This window comes from Homo sapiens, chromosome 4, assembly GCF_000001405.40.
Source record: "Homo sapiens chromosome 4, GRCh38.p14 Primary Assembly".
Taxonomy (NCBI): Eukaryota; Metazoa; Chordata; class Mammalia; order Primates; family Hominidae; genus Homo; species Homo sapiens.
The window spans coordinates 183706067-183725613 of record NC_000004.12 but is presented as its reverse complement, the minus strand read 5'-3'; the positions used below and the strand labels follow the sequence as shown (position 1 = coordinate 183725613).

Below are 19547 nucleotides of genomic sequence, written 5' to 3'. Positions count from 1 at the left end.
ACCCATCCCAGAAGCCCAGCCGGCTTCACCTCTCACCAGCACTTTGGGAGGCCACGGAGGGCAGATCACCTGTGGTCAGGAGTTCGAGACCAGCCTGACCAACATGATGAAACCCCACCTCTACTAAAAATACAAAAATTAGCTGGGCAGGGTGGCGGACGCCTGCAATCCTAGCTACTTAGGAAGCTGAAGCAGGAAAATTGTTTGAACCTGGGAGGTGGAAGTTGCAGTGAGCTGAGATAGTGCCACTGCACTCCAGCCTGGTGACAGAGTAAGACTCCATCTCAAATAAATAAAATTTAAAAATGTAAAGGTATGAGATGGGCATCCACACAGGAAATGCCAGAAGAGTCCATAGGACAAGAAGGACCCCTGAAGGCTGTGGAGGGAGGTGGAGTTTCAGCTGAGCCCTACCAGGCTCCTGTGGCAGTGATAATGCTGTGTTTACCATACAGTCCCCTTCCTGGGCACCCTGCCTTCTCTGCAGTCAATTCTGGCCACTAGAATAGGGGTGGACTTTTAGATGGGAAATAATAAAGTCTCAAAAATGTATCTTTGTGTCTTCTCCCGGTTGATCTCCCTCCATACACAAGCTGCCCACTGTGCCTGCCCTTCTGGGCTGGATGCATCTCAGGCAAGTCTGCAGTAACAGCTCACAAGCAAACGCGTGCTTCCGTGTTGAATAGAACAGTCCTTGTCTGAGACACCTAACAATGCTTTCACCCAAAAAGAACTTCAGGGTTACATTTTTAGACAGGCAGGGCCTATGACCTTTGCTTAAACCATCTTGGTGGGGGAGCCCTATACTATTCCTAAGAGTAATATTTGTTCAAATGGGAACAGATTTCAGGGCTGGAAACAAACTTGTTAATGGCAACCCTCATCCTGGAACACTGATGTGGCTTGCATATACTTTACCTCCTGGGTGACTTGTGGATCACTGGGGAGCAAGTTTCTGCATAGGACCCGTCTGCTGGGTCTCTTCCCTCTGGTGTTGTGATCTATGTTCCTTTTATTGATTTATTTTTTTGAGATGGAGTCTCATTCTGTTGCCCAGGCTGGAGTGCAGTGGCACCATCTCGGCTCACTGCAACCTCCGCCTCCCGGTTCAAGTAATTCTCCTGCCTCAGCCTCCCGAGTAACTGGGACAACAGGTGTGTGCCACCGTGCCTAGCTAATTTTTTTTTATTTTTAGTAGTGACGGGGTTTCACCACATTGGCCAGGCTGGTCTTCTGATCTCGTGATCTGCCCGCCTCCGCCTCCCAAAGTGCTGGGATTACAGGCGTGAGCCACCACGCCCAGCCGATCTATGTTCCTTTCAAAAAATAAACATTTATTATCCCTTCTTCTTAGAAAAAAAAACATGTTTACTGTGGAAAACTATTCGGAACAGATAAGTAAAATAAAGAAAATTATTATCACCTGTACAATCCAACAATCCAAAAACTATCTTTCTAGAGAGAGAGAGAGATGGGGCCCAGCTCTGTCGCCCAGCCTAGAGTGCAGTGGCACAATCATAGCTCAATGCAGCCTTGACCTCCTGGGCTCCAGCAATCCTCATACCTCAGCCTTTCAAGTAGCCGAGACTACAGGCCCACACCAGCGCCTGGCTAATTTCTTTTTAATTTTTGTAGAGACGAAGTCACGCTTTGTTGCCGAGGCTGATCTTGAACTCCTGGACTCAAGTGATCCTCCTGCCTTGGCCTCCCAAAGTGCTGGGATTATAGGCATGGGCCACAGCCCCCGGCCCAAAAACAGTATTTTTATGCATGATCATTTTCCTTTGGGTTTGTATTTGCATAGTGTCTGTTTTGTTTTGTATTACGAAACAAGATCATTACCGTATTCACTGTTCTGTCCTTGCTTTTTTCTTAACAGTACCTGGTGATCCTTTCCCCACGTTATTATTAAGTACTGAATCTCTTTATGACAGATCTCTGTAATCCAAATACAAGCGATTTAATGAAGGAAGAGAGTCCTTACAAAGAAAGCCATGACTGTCAAGGTTTCAGGCCCCACTGAGAGTGCTGTCATCTGCCAAACCAAACAGAACAGACAGAAGGAGGGGCACCTCGCACCTGCAGTGTGCACGGCACTCACTTCTGGGTAGGAAGCTCCAGGGCACCCGAGTTTGCAGAGGCAACAAAGAGGCGCAGCTGAGAGGCCAGTTGCAGCCAAGAGGCCAGGTGCAACAGGCGCCAGATGCAGCAGACAGGCCAGGCGCAGCAGAGGCCAGATGCAGCAGAGAGGCCAGGTGGGGCAGAGAGGCCAGGTGGGGCAGAGAGGCCAGGTGCAGCAGACAGGCCAGATGCAGCAGAGAGGCCAGGTGCAACCGTAAAGGTTTCACACTGCGGCATCTCCCAGGGCGGCTTTGCAAACCCTCACCGGGCGTTCTGCATTGTGCTTCCGAAAAGCCACAGGAGTTTCCTGCGAACCGCAGCGGCGCGGGTGCAGGTGGCGACAGCCCCTATTGAAGGCCCCTGCAGCGTACGCGTCGGACGGGCTTCCCAAGGCGGGTGCTGGCGGCGGCGGGGCGCACCGTAGTCCTGGTCCCGCCACGGCCGCTCCCTGGCGGCCCCCGCCGGCCGCGTGCCCCAGCCCCAGGGCGCCCGCCTCGCTCGGCGCGCACGAGTTTCTGCAGGTCTCTCCTGCCAGCCTCAGGGGAGCCTCCTCGCGGCGCGGCCCGGCTGGGTTCCGGCTTTAAAACAGAAAGGCTCATTGTCCCGAGGTCCCCTGGCCGGTCTAACCGCTGCGGAAACTCCCCGACGCCCCGCCCCGCGCCGAACGGCCCCGCGGCCTGGCCAGAGAAGCCGAGACCGGGTGCGGGGGCCGGGCGGGCGGGTGAGCCTCGCTAGAGAGGCTGGGCTGGTGTAGGTTTTTTGTTTGTTTGTTTCCTCTTTTGTTTTTTTTTTTTTTTTTTGAGATGAGGTCTCCCTCTGTCGCCCAGGTTGAAGTGCAGTGGCGCGATCTCGGCTCACTGCAACCTCCGCCTCCCGGGTTCAAATGATTCTCGCACCTCAGCCTCCCCAGTAGCTGGGATTACAGATGTCTGCCACCACGCCAGGCTAATTTAATTTTTTATTTTTTATTTTTTTTTTTTGAGACGGAGTCTGGCTCTTTCCCCCAGGCTGGAGTGCAGTGGCGGGATCTCGGCTCACTGCAAGCTCCGCCTCCCGGGTTCACGCCATTCTCCTGCCTCAGCCTCCCGAGTAGCTGGGACTACAGGCGCCCGCACCACGCCCGGCTAATTTTTTTGTATTTTTAGTAGAGACGGGGTTTCACCGTGTTAGCCAGGATGGTTTGATCTTATGACCTCGTGATCCGCCCGCCTCGGCCTCCCAAAGTGCTGGGATTACAGGCGTGAGCCACCGCGCCCGGCCTAATTTTTGTATTTTTAGTAGAGATGCGGTTTCACCTTGTTGGCCAGGCTGGTCTGGAACTCCTGACCTCAGGTGACCCACCCGCCTTGTCCTCTCAGAGTGCTGGGATTACAGGCGCGCCACCTAGCCTGGCTAATTTTTTTAGCAGAGACGGTTTTTATTTTTAGTAGAGACGGTTTCACCGTGTTGGCCAGTCTGGTCTCGAACTCATGACCTCAAGTGAACCGCCCCCCTCAGCCACTCAAAGTGCTGGGATTACAGGCGTGAGCCGCCGCGCCAGCCTGGGTGGATTTTCTGTGCACGGAAGGGAAGCAGCACCGGAACCCCTCCTGTTCCCCTAAGCACCGTGGACACTGCCCACCTGACAGCGGAGGGGGAGCAGCCGGAAAATAAAATGTCGCAGGGCGCAGTTACGCGTATCTGTTAGTGTTTGTGTGTGGTAAAAGATCTGTCACTCAATGAGTGCCCGTTTTCAAAGAATGAACATAAAATGAACATTTATTAAACATAATTTAATCTCTTCTCCATGTCAGGCCCTTTCACTGATTTCCCAAGGTGACCATTCGGACCATTCGTACATTAATATTGATTTTAAGTTGATAAAGGTTGTGTTTGAAGTTGTCTTCTTGATTTTATCCTTGCAGCTGAAGATACCTTGTGAACTTTACTTTTCAGAGCAGAGCGTCTGAGCGGTGGGCAAGGCACAAAGCGCGAGGGAAGCCGCTGGAGGGAGCTGCTCTCCTGCACGGAGGGCGCAGGCGCCAGCTGCTGCCAACACCACGGGAAAGCCCTCACCCTAACCTTGGACTCCTGACCCCAGGCTCCTAATGCACATCATTATTCCATAAGAACAGGGGAGAAACGGAGAGGGCACGAAGCACAAACACCGAAGCTCTGGGATAACATTAGAGATAGGAGGGCCACCAACTCGTTACACTGAAAATTAAAAATACAGAGGCCGGCCGCTGGGGCTCACTCCTGTAATCTCAGCACTTTCGGAGGCTGAGGCGGGCAGATCACTAGAGCCCAGGGGTTCGAGACCAGCCTGGCCATCCTGGTGAAACCCCGTCTCTACTAAAAATACAAAGATTAGCGGGGCTTGGTGGTGCGCGCCTGTAATCCCAGCTACTCTTGGGAGGCTGAGGCAGGAGAATCACTTGAACCCGGGAGGCGGGGGTTGCAGCGAGCCAAAATCATGCCACTGCACTCCCATCTGGGTGACAGAGTTAGGCTCGTCTCAAAAAAAAAAAAAAAAAAGGAAGAAAATTACAAATAAAGAGAAGGAATTAGGTTATTAAAAATTATCTTTGCTTCCTTGTCTGATGGGCTGAATTAAGAAAAAAAGTTCTCTTTGCTGTAGGAACTATATTGTAGGGTAATTAAATAGACCTAGTGGATGAGGAAAAAAAATTCTCTAAGAATTCCAGTCAATGAATGCAGAATAGCATTCTTTAATTACATTTTGCAACTTCCAATTGAAAAACTTCTAATTTTAAAACATTTAAGTTAAATATACAGTTCAGCTAAACAGCGATCAATGCGTCAATGCAATGAGCGTCATTCAATTCAGACAATTGCATCGATGGCTGTTTAGCTGAACCTTATGATAAAGGAATTAGGCTGCCATCCTCTAAACCCATTGATCAGTCTTACCACGAAAAGCGAGACGAGACAGAAGTGTGGTGATGGGAAATATCACCTATGAAATAGCCTTATTCTGAAAAAAAAAAAAAAAAAGGAAAGATGGAAGGAAGGAGTGAGGGAGAGAGAAGGAGGGTGAAAGGAAGGAAGTAGAGGAGAGAAGAACTGGAGGGAGGATGAGAAGGAGAAAGAATTTGAGCTCAGGCTAGCTTGTAACTCTAACTCCCAGTCCATTGGAAAAACAGTAGATAGAGGAACAAGTTACATAAACACCCTGGGGTTGCAATTAACTAAACCCCGAATGTGGGATATTTTACAAAACAACTGACCCATTTCTTCATCAAGTCAATAGGGGATATAAAGGGGGACGGGACTGTTCTACATGAAATGAAACAATATAATGATGGACCTTGTTTGGATCCATATTCAAACAAGCCAACTGTAAAAAGACTTAGGGAAAATTGAATATGTTATACTAGACAATGTAAAGAAATAATTGATTAGATGTAATAATGCATTGTGGTTGTGTGATTTTAAAAGTCCTTTTCTTTCTGGTGAAATGAGGTAGGGAGGATGGATGGTAGAGGGCAAGGCATTAATGGCTGAAGCTGAGTATAAGCATGGAAGTGTGTAACAGTCTCTACTTTTGTGTCTGTTCGGAAATGGTCACAATAAAAAAGTAAAATGAAATAAAGGATGGCAATCAGAAGTGGAGAGAATATCGTAAATGTAGTCTGACCAAATGGTGTCACTAATACCTTTGATTAAAAAAAAATCAGCTGTTTGATTTTAAAAAGCTATTACGGAGCCCCTCCCATCCTATGACTGAATAATTCCGTATTTCATCTTTTTTTTTTTTTTTTTTTGAGACGGAGTCTCACTCTGTCTCCCAGGCTGGAGTGCAGTGGCATGATCTTGGCTCACTGCAAGCTCCGCCTCCCGGGTTCAGGCCATGCTCCTGCTTCAGCCTCTCCAGTAGCTGGGACTACAGGCACCCGCCACCACACCCGGGTAATTTGTTGTATTTTTAGTAGAGACGGGGTTTCACCGTGTTAGCCAGGATGGTCTCGATCTCCTGACCTCGTGATCCGCCCACCTCGGCCTCCCAAAGTGCTGGGATTACAGGCCTGAGCCACCGCGCCTGGCCTATTTCATCTTGAATAAAGGGTTTATGAACTGTTCCTGTTAAATTTGGCATTTGGAATTCAGTCCTTTGTTGAGATAGTGATTTTGAATTATTCTCCAAGATCAAATATTTTTTCAGACTACGGTTCTTCAAGCTGATGAGCATTACCAAAAAGAAGACCAGCTTCCTCCAAAAGCTCCGGGAGAGAAGCCCTGCTCTGCAGAGGTGCAGGGAGACAGCAGCAAGCGCGCTTGCATTTTTAAGTGAGTTTCATCCCCTGCTCACCATTCTCTTATCACTGAATATCTAAGGAAGAAAAAAATAAAGGTTAGGTTTACTCAACAGTGGACAAGTCTGTCTATGTTCAAAGCACTGGCATGCCAGGGTGCCGCAGGGGTGCATGCCAACAGTCCCTTTCATCACCTGGAAAGCTCTTCCTTGATCTGTTTATTTTACAAACGTTTCTATGTCCTCCAAAATCCAGTTCACATAACATTATCTGTTCATGGATGATGGAAATGCATTCCCACACAACAAAAGCACAGAATCATTTTATTATGAACACAAAAACAAAAACAACTCCAATGTCAATGTCCCTCCTTGAGGAAGCCCTACCTCCCCGCAGCTTCCTCCTCATACTCTATAATAAAGTTAATCCTTCCCTGGGGCTCCTGTCTACCTTGTATCCTTTGTTATTTTTTTATTATGGAAATTTCCAGACATACCCAAAAGGAGAGTGAATGGCAAAGCCCCCAGGCCCACCCATCTTTAATGTTATCAACATTTTTCAAATCTTGTTTCATCCATTTCTCTCCAATCTGGTTATTTTGTTTCTTTTCAGGTATGTTAAAGGAAATCCCAGACATCCCATCACTTACTAGTCTTGTGCCCATTTCCATGGCACTGACCACACTGTGTCAGAACCTGCTGCCGTGGCAGTGTCTCCTGCTGGACCACTGGTCTTCAGGAATAGGGATTCCTTTATGGCCACAGCAACCAGCCCACAAACTGGCCCACAGTAGGCCCACAGTAAATACTTGGAATAAATTTGTGTAATTGAGGGCAATAGATTTACTGTCACAGAATGAAAGAATTTTTTTTTTTTTTTTTTTTTTTTTTAGAGACAGGCTCTCTGTCGCCCAGGCTGGAGTGCAGTGGTGCAATCATGACTCACTGCGGCCCCACGTCCTGGGTTCAAGTGATCCTCCTGCCTCAGCCTCCAGAGTAGCAGGGGGGCACCACCACTCCTGGCTAATTTTTCTGTTTTGTGTGGAGACAGGGGCTTGCTAGCCCAGGCTGGTCTCAAACTCCTAGCCTCAAGCGATCCTTACCTCTCAGACTCCCAAAATTTTGGGATTAGAGGCTTCAGCCATGGAGACCCAGGCATGGAAAGATCTTAATTCATAAAAATGCCTAGTACTTCAGGCATACATAATTTAGCTCAAGACAAATTTATTTAGGACTAAGCCCTGGCAGCATTAGAATGGTGGCTGTGTAGTGTTGCGGCCTCTGCAGGACAGTACCTTGATGACAGTCCCAGCTCTACTCCCACTTGCCATGTCACTGGGTACAGCAGATTTTGTTTTCCAAAGATGGAGGCAATAATACCTCCTGTCCTGTACCTTCTGGATGAGGCCATTTCCCCCTCAAGAGGTGACATTTATAGTTTGTGTTCCCTCCCCTTGAATCTGGGTGGACTGTGACCCTAGCAGTGACATTATGTGTTATTGAAGGCAAGGTCAAAAAAGGTGATGCAGCTTCCCTTGCTGGTTCCATTCTCACTGGAGGTTTGAGCTGCCAGGTAAGCAGTCCAGCCACCTTCAGCCGGCCATGCTGTGAGGAATCCCAGTGAACACATAGAGCGACCCTAACTAAATAGAGGTGCCTGGCTAGCTCCAAGCTGCCTCGGTTCCCCTGGTTCTCACAGTTGGTCCTATTCTAACTCCAGCTACTGTTTGACTACAACTGCATGAGTGACCCCAAGCCAGAACTGTCCATCTGAGTTGTTCCCAAATTCCTGCCCCACTGAAACCATAAAGATAATGATGGTTGTTTTAAGCTATTAAACATTGGGCAGATTTGTTTTGTAGCAATGGATAACCAGAACACTGGGCAAGTTACTTAACCTTTCTGCGCCTCAGCTTTCACATCTTCAAAATGGGAATAATAAGAGTACCTAAAACCACATTGAGCTTTTATGAGTATTATATGAGATAAAAACATACCCATGTGGCACATCACATTACTCAATAAATGTTAGCAATGATCATTTGGGAAAGATAGTTTAGAAATCCTGACCAACCTAACAAGGTAATATTTGTAAGTTTCCATTTACCATGCATGATGATACTATTTTTTTTTCCTGAAACGGGATCTCGCTCTGTCACCCGGGCTGGAGTGTGGTGGTGTGATCATGGCTCACTACAGCCTTGACTTCCCAGGTTCGAGTGATCCTCCCACCTAAGCTCCCCGAGTAGCTGAGACTACAGGACTAGAGGCACGAGCCACCACGTCCGGCTAATTTTTTGTATTTTTAGTAGAGACGGGGATTTGCCATGTTGCCCAGGCTTGTCTTGAACTCCTGGGCTCAAATGACCCGCCCACCTCAGCCTCCCAAAGTGCTGGGATTACAGGCATGAGCCACCGCGCTCTGCCTCATGTTGATACATTTTGGATAAGGGTGTATTCTGTAAATAAAAAACCAATTTCAAGGTTACTATGAGTTTTGTGTTCTTTCAATGGAGAGAAAATAGAAATGATAAAAAAAAAAACTGGAGTGAGCATAGTAAAAAAAGAAAAAAAAGTTGCTTGGAGTATAACTTGGATGGTACACAGACCTTGAAATGCAAGGGTACTCGGCAGTTTGAGATTTTTCCCTTTTAACACAGCTCCCTGCAAAGCAGGGCTAACTCAGGCAGTGCACCCTGAGTGGACATGCGTGGCAGTTTTGACCTTGGTTCTACTTTCCCCTCTAGTAAAACATGCTTCAGAAAGCAGAAACAATAAGGCCTTGTGATCGTCTTCTCCTTTTGCAGACATAAGTAAATCGAGTGGAAGGGAATGTTTTTTCACCAATTTGATCTTTAAGGAAAACTTGAATATAATGGAACTATGCATTTTTTTTCATGAAAAACATGGAATTTTATACTCATTTAGTGAATTTTATGGAGCTCTTCAGTAGGTATGTCTGAGAATGGCATCACTTGCTAAAATAAATGGTATGGTTATGGTCACCAAAGAATGGCATGAGTATGGCCGGGCACGGTGGCTCATGCCTATAATCCTAGCACTTTGGGAGGCTGAGGTGGGTGGATCACCTGAGGTCGGGAGTTTGAGACCAGCCTGGCCAACATGGCAAAACGCCATCTCTACTAAAAATACAAAAATTAGCTGGGTATGGTGGTGGACACCTCTAATCCCAGCTACTAGGGAGGCCGAGGCAGGAGAATTGCTTGAAACTGGGAGGCGGATGTTGCAGTGACCTGAGATCATGCCACTGCGCTCCAGCCTGGGCAACAGAATGAGCAGAGTGAGACTCTGTCTCAAAAAAAAAAAAAAAAAAAAAAAAAAAAAAAGAACAGCAGCAGTGTCACTCATTAGAAATGTTTCAGAACAAATCTGTAATTGTAAAACAGGGTATGTAAGAATACTGGGACAATAAAATAACGTAAAAATTTGTTTCCTTATATAACTGAATGCTTTTAGTTAGCATTCACTCATAATGCTTTAGCTAGAGAAGATTTAGTCCTGTGGGGTGAATCCATATGGCATGAAAAACTGAGGAGATGAGATAATGTATACATTTCTATTTGGTTATCACACATTTGTTGGACCATCTCTAATTACTAATGCTGCATGCACGTAACTGCTTTGAAAGTTACTGTCACTGCTATTTATCCACTCTACCATTAAATAATGCAACCCATGTCTAACTTTTAAACTGAGTTGGGACACTTTGGGTGCCTTTTCTGAATTTTAAGGCCAGGTGAGGAGGCTTCAGAAGGGTATTTGCTGGGGCGGCAGGGACCCTCCCCATTAAAAGGCGAACTTCGCTTGTCTGCTTGCTGTCCTTTCCTTAACAGCGCTCCCTTTCTCCTTACAACACCAACATGGAAATTACAGCTTGGAATTCTTCACAGCTATTATTTCAGAGTATCAACTGGGGGGCTTTTTATATTCTGGGTGGAAATATAACATGGTCCATGAAAGAAATGACTGAATTCGAACAAAAATAATGAATCTCCAAGTAATGTGAAGACATTCTGAAAAACGTGAAGAGCCATGCTCTGTAAAACCTCTTCATTCTCATAAGAATTCAAAGATAGAGAACTAAAGACATTATGAGGAAAACTGAGTTGAAGGGATCAAATTTGCAAGTTGAAGGATCACAAAGATATAAAACTAAGCAAATTAATAACTTTGTCCTTCCCAAAGACATTACCATCTGCATGCTCCTTTTGGTAATATTTGGATTATCCACCAGTGCTTATCGCATCATGTATACGAGTTAAACTTTTATACACACCTCCCCCACAATTTATAACACTTTATTTAAAAAACTGTATCCCTGGATGGTGCGAACACTGGCAGACAGCAATGTTGAGAACCAAACGTACAAAGACAGAAGGCAGACGTTCTCATGAGGGACAGATGGTCGTGGCTGCTGGCAGAGGCAGGGAGAAAGAGGGTGAGGTCCTCCCTGACACTCGGAGCCTCAGTGAATGAAGAGCTCCTGCAACACTGTAACAGTTCTGAGTTTAGAACCCAGGGTAGATGATGACTTCATGTATTGTTGAATCAAAATTTTCAGTTTCAAAATAGGTAGACAGAATATACTCACAGTAGAATTTGTGATATGGGAGAATTCCTGGTTGAGAAAGGCTTACTCTATTGCCAACTCTAAGAAAGATCAAGAAGAAAAAGACCTGTTTGATATCCGTACAGAAGCGCGCACAGGTACACAAATCCCACTGCCATCCATGTTGATCATTTTAAAGTGCATGTCAGTGACCCACTGTTCAAACATGTACTTCGTTTGACAATGGCAGTGTTAACACATGGGATCTTTATTATGTAAGCACTGCGTCAGACCATCTTAGAATTCAACAGCACCTTCAAGATCTTGGTCCAGTATTTTTCAAACCGCACTTTACATCCTATTAGTGGGTCATGAAATCAATTCATCAGGTTTATAACCAGGGATGTTTTTTAACAAAACAGAGTAGGATACAAAATATGTAAGAGTACACAGAATGCATTCTTCTATGAAACTTGTTTATAGTTTCACGTATTTACATACACATGTATACTCATATATGTAGTAAATTATGTAAAATGTATCAACAAATTCTGATAACATGGAACTCTCCAGTAGAAAAGTGAATACCCTCTTCAGCCTTCCCATAAAAATATAGATGACACTGGCTGAGCACCCTCATACATAACTTTGGGTCTGGCACTGTTCCAAGCTCTTCTCATGTATGAATCTATATCATCCTTCATAACAAGCCTATAAGATGGGTGTTATTTACATCTTATATACAAGAACGCTGAGATACACAGAGGGTAAGGAACTTGAACAACGTCACCCAGACAAAAGCAGCAGAGGAGGGATTTGATCCTAGACAGCTGGACTCTAGAGTCATGCTCCATGGCCTCTACCTGAAAAGCCATGTTACAACAGGGAGCTCATGTCCTCCCAAGATAGCACTGTCCAACTCTCACATAATGTTACCAGAGCCAGTTCTAGAACACAGCCCAATTTTCAATCCTGTGCTTGCCATTGCATCTCATGCAACAGTGTTCTTAGTAAAAGCTGTTCCATGAAGCTGAAATCAAACAAGCTCAAAATAAAAGATAGAGACAGACAAGCATACTTGAAAGAGAACATGTTTATTTACATCACTATTTCCTTTTTACAATGCCTCCACCTTTTGAATAATAAAATTTTCCAGGAAATCAGGTCATTTTAAATTATTAAGGTATTTTAACAAATACAATTTTCACCCTATGATTTTTATTTACATGAGTTTTCAAGAGTTTTAAATAGTTCTTTTGAAACTGCACAATATAACCAGAAGGCCTGACTCAGACCCTGCATCTTTTCCAAAAACTTTCAGTCTAGGAAATTATGTTTATAATCAAATCCTTGCACTTTGGATCTTTTCCGATGAGGATTTTATTAACACCTCTAAAATATGAACCTGCTTCATAAATGATCCATATTTTGGCAGCAAGCTGAACCTATTTGACACTTCTTGATAGTAAGCAAAGATATTTTTGATACCTTAATTAAACTGCTTTGATTAAAACTTTCTGGAAGTTTTCCGTATCAGTCATACAACTCCCTATGTTGTTGTGTATGTGTTCTGAGTACACACTGAATTTATGAGAATGATTTATTTCCGGTCTGGCCAGCTCTGAAAGAGACACATGGGGGATTCGGAACTTTATGGCACAGGCACTGGTGCATCTGCTCTCTTTGTCCAGTCACACTTGGGATGCTTAATTTTCCTGATATTATACATGCAAATCACTTACTTTTCATAGAATTTACCATTCATCAAATGACTTTCAACAATAACAATGGTCTGACATTCTTTCATGTCGTACTGAGATTTCAGATATTTATTAGAGAAACTATAAGACAGATTTTCCTAATATTTTTGAAGTATGAGTTCCTCTGAATAGTTGGTATAACATCCATTAAAAAATAGAAAAGGTTAACTTTTTACCATGATCAAAGCTAGAGTTCACAATGAAACACCTGCATAGCTCTGCCCAACATCTCTGTAACAACAGCCAAGGGCCGGTCTTGAACATCATGCAGCAGCAATAGAGGTATCATCCATGAGTCGACCCTGTGGCTTTAAAGTGGGAAAAACAAAGTGGGTTTACAAAATTATAATATAATAACAAAAGCTCTATTAACTGGAAGGATTTTTAAATTCTTGAAACTGTTTTACAAAAACAGAATAAATGAGTGTAAGCATCAAAATAAAAATGGTGATATGGTGATTCTCCTCCTTTCACCCCACCTCTTTCTTTCTTCACTTGCACCTGGGGATGGCCACGGCACAGGCTGGGAGCTGCCCTCTCCTGTAGCCATCACCAGCTGACTCTGCACTTCCACCCGAAGAATCCTCTTCTGTCAGTACTTCTCTCTCAACCCTGCGTTCCAGCAGCTACTGCCAGGCCATCTCCCACATGTGGAATGGAACCTTGTTTATCATTCCTACTTAACTGATAGTTTTATTCTCTCTCTCTTGCTCAGGGCCCTCCTGTGTCTCAAGCTTTAAGCAGGTCCAGAGCCTGAGCTGACAGGTAAGTTCCTTTTGGGGACTCAAGGTTGCCCAATCTCCTGTTTGAGAAAAAGTGTCTGCAGTGAACTCCAATGCATGCTGCAAGGATAAAAGTGGCAGATAAAAACAAAAACTGCCCTATCTCTAAGATCACTGATTGAAAGAATTTAAAACATCACGTCAGAAAAGTCAAGACTAAGAATGAATAAAAGGTATCGTAACTGTTTTTAGTTGTAAAATTTCTGGCAGGTTAACAACATCCCAGAGGGATAGCTAGTAGCTAAAAGAATACAATTCTTACAAATAATTTTATTTTATTATACAGATATACAATAGCAGACCTTTGTGGGGAAAGCAGGAGAAAGATGATCAGGAAATGAAACAGAAGAGTGTTCACAATCAAAAGTGATTTGCTATGCTTTAAGCAGAAAGATTCTGAGGCATTCCCGAGGCAGTGAAGACAGCACTCCTGCTTTCAGTTTGCTGCTGCTGTGGTTGTTCAGATGTATATAGCAGTGTGTGTGTACATACATACAGAAACATAGCTAAGTATAGCTTCCAGACATTCACGGCAGGAATGGAGTGAGTGAAATAGGTTCCCGATCCTTGATTCTTGACTGTTTTTTTAGTACTGATGGGAGCTGCTCAATTTTAGAAACAAAATCATGGCTCAAGCTAGTGAAATCCCTGCCAAATGTAGCTTTTACAAGCAAGAGCAAAAAATGAGTGCATCATACAATTAGAAAACCAAAGCCTTTTATTCAAAGGAAGAAAAGTATGGATTCATCCTTGCCTAGGACGTCACTGTCTGGTATGGCAGTCGCTAGTCACATTTAGCGATTGAGCACTTGAAATGTGGCAGTGTAACTAAGCAAATTTAATTTAAACTGAATCTCAATAGTCACATGTGGCTAGTGGCTATACCGGACAGCATAGCTCTAAAGTTTAATACAGGTGCACTAGGACCTAAAATTTTAGTCAGTGATTGTCCAATAAGTGGGAAAGGGTAATCCTCAGCCACTGTCCTTAGAGTGACAAGTAAAAAAAAAAATTGTAGACATTTACGGTATACAACATGATGTTTTGAAATATGTACACTATATATACACTGTAGAATGGCAATTTTTTTTTTTTGAGACAGCATCTCATTCTGTTGCCCAGGCTGGAGTGCAATGGCATGGTCTCACCTCACTGCAACCTCTGTCTTCCAGATTCAAGCAATTCTCCTGCCTCGGCCTCCCAAGTAGCTGGGATTGCAGGCGCCCACCACACCACACCCGGCTAATTTTTGTGTTTTTACTAGAGATGGGGTTTCACCATGTTAACTAGGCTGGTCTCGAACTCCTGACCTCAGGTGATCCACCAGCCTTGGCCTCCCAAAGTGCTGGGATTACAGGCGTGAGCCACCACGCCCGGCCAAAATTTTTTAATTATAAATTTTCCCTACTGATTAAAGAGCTGGCTCTGCGGAGTCCGGTGAACATTTTTGGCAGCAGTCAAGTTGCTAGAAAGTGGTATCTGTACTCAGAAAAGGATCCCTGCAGTTAAACAGGGCATGCTAGTCATGTTAAAAATGTTAGGCCGGGCGCAGTGGCTCACACCTGTAATCCCAGCACTTTAGGAGGCCGAGGCGGGAGGATCACGAGGTCAGGAGATCGAGACCATCCTGGCTAACATGGTGAAACCCCGTATCTACTAAAAATACAAAAAATTAGCCAGGCGTGGTGGCAGGCGCTTGTAGTCCCAGCTACTCGGGAGGCTGAGGCAGGAGAATGGCGTGAACCCAGGAGGCAGAGCTTGCAGTGAGCAGACATCGGGCCACTGCACTCCAGCCTGGGCAACAGAGCAAGACGCTGTCTCAAAAAAAAAAAAAAGTTTATTTTCTGGAACCTTTCCTTGTGAATTTAAACACTACCCAGAAGAGGTTTACCTTGAGAGAAAATCAAAAGACTGAACAAGCATTAGCTGGGATTAGGTTTGGGTCTCCTGAGCACCAGAGAAAGGAATGAAAGAGAATAATTGATGGAACCAAAAATCTCTCCTTTTCAGTATTAGTTACTCTAGTATTTCAAACAAGCTATTTCTGTGCAGCTAGAATATGATCAAGTCTACATACATCTAAATGATTCAAACAGTACTTCTAAGTTTAAAAATAGCAAACTTCAAAAAGTCTAACAGCTAAAGGGACATTATGGAGGCCACCTGTTCCCCTCTGTTCCCCCACCCAGTCATGAGACTCGTCCCCTGCAGAGTGACTTCACCAGGAGAGTGTGGGGCCAATGGAAATGTCTTTAGACTGAAGGGATCTGGCGAAAATATTTAAAAAGCGTTTAAACACAAGGATATCCAAAATTATGAGATTTTTCTTTTACAAGTTATTTATTTATTTTGAGACAGTGTCTCGCTCTGTTGCCCAGGCTGGAGTGCAGTGGCACAACCTCCACTCACTGCAAGCTCTGCCTCCTGGGTTCAAGCAATTCTCCTGCCTCAGCCTCCCAAGTAGCTGGAACTACAGGTGCCTGCCACCACGCCCGGCTAATTTTCTGTATTTTTAGTAGAGATGGGGTTTCACCATGTTAGCCAGGATGGTCTCGATCTCCTGACCTTATGATCTGCCCGCCTCGGCCTCCCAAAGTGCTGGGATTACAGGTGTGAGCCACTGCGCCAGGCCTCTTTTACAATTTAAAAGTATGGTGTGGAATAGGAGCTTGGGAGGGTTAATTATTTTTATACAGATAGAAAAAACTCTGTATAAAAGTCTGGAAATATAAAAGCTGGCAGAGTACAGAGAATATTATTAACAGATAACTTACCAAATCCTGGATTATATAAACAAGGAACTGTTCCCCCAAACTTGAATAAGACAGACACAAAAAAGGAAGTAGTGAGCAATATAAACTGTCATTCCAAATGAGGGTAGAAACTTAAAAGAGGGCGCACAGCAGTGACATATATTAATGTGTATGTATGTTATGTTAATGTATATGTATGTTAGAGGGACACCAGAAGCATGTGGAGAGATGGCTCTTATTTAGGTATCAGGGAGTGACAATCAGAGGTGGGCTGCTGAGCTAAATTAACCACTCATCCCTCCAATTCACTCTTACACACTGCCCATCGTATGTATTCTTTTATTGTAGGGACCTGGAAATTGTGTAATTAAAAAAAAAACATTAAATCAGAGTATAGTTTCTGAGAGATGATCATTTTCAGAAGAGAGCTAAATCTAATATTACACAGTTACAGGGAATCAGAAAAGTTTAAGGATATTTAAAGTTAATTCATTTTGATGAAATACTAGTTACAAACAAATTACAATTTTAAAGCATACTTTACTAAACCAAAGAGAAAATATGCTTAAGGATATTATAAAGATAAATCATTATTTACCTAAGGAAATACAATCTTTGAAATTAGATTCTATAAAAAGTAACTATAGAAATGAACAGCAATACTGCCAAATACATATAATAAAAGGCAAAACTATCACTGTTGGTCTCAAAATACTGTTCAGTGAAGTTTACATGAAAAAGAAGTCTGTTTGTTTTTAAGACTTTGAATTTAAAAAGCAGAAAATTGCTAAGCTTTACCTTGACAAAAATACTGGTAGGTATAAAACGCCTGAGCAGCTGATTTGTGAAGTTAGGAAATCTAAGCAAGTTGATGTTGAGAGATGGCAGCTGCTGGTATCCAGCCATCAGAGGATAGAAATTATATAGCATTTCCTGCTCCGTGCCAGGGAGGATACGTAATCGAATCTGCATCATAAAAAGTCACAGAGAAAGATAATCAAATACACATATGTGCAATATCTATATGTTGTTACCCTCAATTATTTACAAAAGATTGGATAACCAAATCCTTCTACTGAAATATTCACTCTCTCCTAGTCCATCTTCCAAACAGATTCCAAAGTGTAGGGCTGAATTAGTATGAGTTTAGGACATGGCAGACAGGAAATGTGTAAAAAATATATGCAAGATTTCTCGGTTTCTACCAAGACCTACAATGGGTAACTTATACCTCCTAAAGAATGAGAACTCAAGGCAGGTGAATCTTTTCTCTGCCTTAGCCCAGGTAGCTTTTATGTTCACAATATGTAAAGGGATAATTTGTAAAAAGAGTATCTACTTGTAGACATTATGTCAATACCAAATTAGTTCTTTCTAATTTATTTAGTAGTTTGTTTTGTTTTAAGGATTTTACCTTTGTGTTAAGTAACTGCAGGAGGAAAAAAAAAAGATGTTTTGAAAATCTTTGACAATACTTTTAAAAAGTATACTAACTGGTAAGATTTTAGCATCTTTATATTTCCTACGATTTATGTAAGTCAACACGTGGAAAAAATCAAGACACTCAAGAAAAAAGCTCACTCATTTGTAAATACTATAGTTGGTATATTTAATACTGTATATTATAAATATAAAACAGTACCTGAACATACAGCATATTTCATATAAAATTCTATTTTGCATTTAACAACAAACACAGCACTCAGAATATGCAGAGCAGTTAATTAGTCAGGATAGACACTTCCAGGTGTTAAGACACATATGTTCTCTAATTATGCCCTTGTTAATTAAAAAGTATTTCCTGACTTTGGAGGGTCATCTCTGTTATCCCTCTGACAGTGGAGGACAGGACTCTCACTGAAGCATGGTTTTGCCTGGGTATTTTGTTTGCTCATTTAAAAACTTGATGAACTTTTCCAACCTGATTTGACTGAACAAATAAAAAAATCTAGATAATTTAAAGTATAGAAACAAAATGTATCTAAACACACGAAAGGTTAAGTATATTCTACGCAAAATCAAAATTGCTATGAAACTTCACTGATAGAAAAATGGGCTGTTAATATTAGGACAGTGAAGTCTCCAGGCCTCACACACACACACACACACACACACACATAAACACACACACTCATCAGTAATAAGGGGACATTTTTAAGTTTTTCAGGAATTATAACATATTATAATATAGTCCAAGGATTTGTGGACTTCTGTTTTATAAGAAGAACCCACGTGTCTCGTCTCAATGATGTGACAAGGGTAACCCACCTTTATAGGCAGCTGTACTTAAGGTGCTTAAAAATTCACTATTACCAAAACAACAGGGACCACAGTCAGCTTTACTCAGTTCATTCATAAAAACTAAAGGTACAGCTCTCCGTTTCCTGGCACACTTTTGTGTCAACATAAGCATCACAAGATATGACCTGTACCTGTTTGAGACCTGAGAACATGAAGGCATCACTGGGCTCCACAGAAATTTCTACATCTTGAACTAAGTCGGTCTTATTCTGTAGGTGATACTTGACAGGTAACGACTCTCTGACACGCCCAAATGACGGCAGATCTACAGAGAAAGATGACACACTTCTCTTGGTTTAAAAAATAGCTCCCCACTTATGGCTTCGTTTTGTAAATGAATCTCATTCTGTGGACATAGTATCATTTAAATTAATGACGTTACTGTACTCTTGCCGGATAAGAAAATTCTTTGATTGGACAACAGCAATAAGACTATGATAAAACAGGCTAAGGAAATGAGTGTCCTTCTAAAAATGACTGGCCTAGACAGGGTCTTGGCTATCAGGAACTGAATTATATTTTAAGGATCATTTCTTTTTTTTTTTTTTTGAGGCGGAGTCTCGCTCTTTCACCCAGGCTGGAGTGCAGTGGTGCTATCTCGGCTCACTGCAAGCTCCGCCTCCCGGGTTCACGCCATTGTCCTGCTTCAGCCTCCCAAGTAGCTGGGACTACAGGTGCCCGCCACCATGTCTGGCTAATTTTTTGCATTTTTAATAGAGACGGGGTTTCACCGTGTTAGCCAGGATGGTCTCGATCTCCTGACCTCGTGATCCACCCACCTTGGCCTCCCAAAGTGCTGGGATTACAGGCGTGAGCCACCGCGCCCAGCCAGGGATCATTTCTTAAATCCATAAAAGGTTTCCCAAAATATCACTCATGGTTCCTAAACTAGAATAAGCAAAAGCTGTGTTTCAGTGAAGTTATAAGTAAAACTTTCATTCATTCATTTGTGGATACACTGTTGTTTGGTGGGTGTGTGTGTGTGTGTGTGTGTGTGTGTGTGTT

General features: G+C 43.2%; 1 protein-coding gene across 5 annotated transcripts in view, besides 3 other annotated features; it reads right to left on the bottom strand.

The window, feature by feature from the left end:
- Positions 1670 to 2431: an enhancer, noted in NCBI's record as "H3K27ac-H3K4me1 hESC enhancer chr4:184644336-184645097 (GRCh37/hg19 assembly coordinates)". NCBI's record gives its function as "activates a minimal SCP1, AML or CMV promoter by ChIP-STARR-seq in naive H9 embryonic stem cells {active_cell/tissue: H9 hESC(naive)}" and the evidence as "EXISTENCE:reporter gene assay evidence [ECO:0000049][PMID:30033119]".
- Positions 2223 to 2272: an enhancer, noted in NCBI's record as "active region_22187". NCBI's record gives its function as "activates an Ori minimal core promoter by ATAC-STARR-seq in GM12878 lymphoblastoid cells {active_cell/tissue: GM12878}" and the evidence as "EXISTENCE:reporter gene assay evidence [ECO:0000049][PMID:35858748]".
- Positions 2383 to 2912: a silencer, noted in NCBI's record as "silent region_15833". NCBI's record gives its function as "represses an Ori minimal core promoter by ATAC-STARR-seq in GM12878 lymphoblastoid cells {active_cell/tissue: GM12878}" and the evidence as "EXISTENCE:reporter gene assay evidence [ECO:0000049][PMID:35858748]".
- TRAPPC11 (trafficking protein particle complex subunit 11) overlaps positions 12025 to 19547 on the bottom strand; it is a 54297-nt gene continuing 46774 nt past the window's right edge. For 3 of the 5 annotated variants that reach the window (XM_024454180.2, NM_021942.6, XM_024454179.2), the window contains 3 exons: positions 18674 to 18807; positions 17040 to 17207; positions 12025 to 13014 (listed from right to left, as the gene is read on the bottom strand). In XM_024454180.2, the coding sequence (XP_024309948.1) occupies positions 12970 to 13014; positions 17040 to 17207; positions 18674 to 18807 (347 nt within the window). In that variant the 3' untranslated portion in view covers positions 12025 to 12969. The other 2 variants (NM_199053.3, XM_047416069.1) reach the window with 2 other exon arrangements.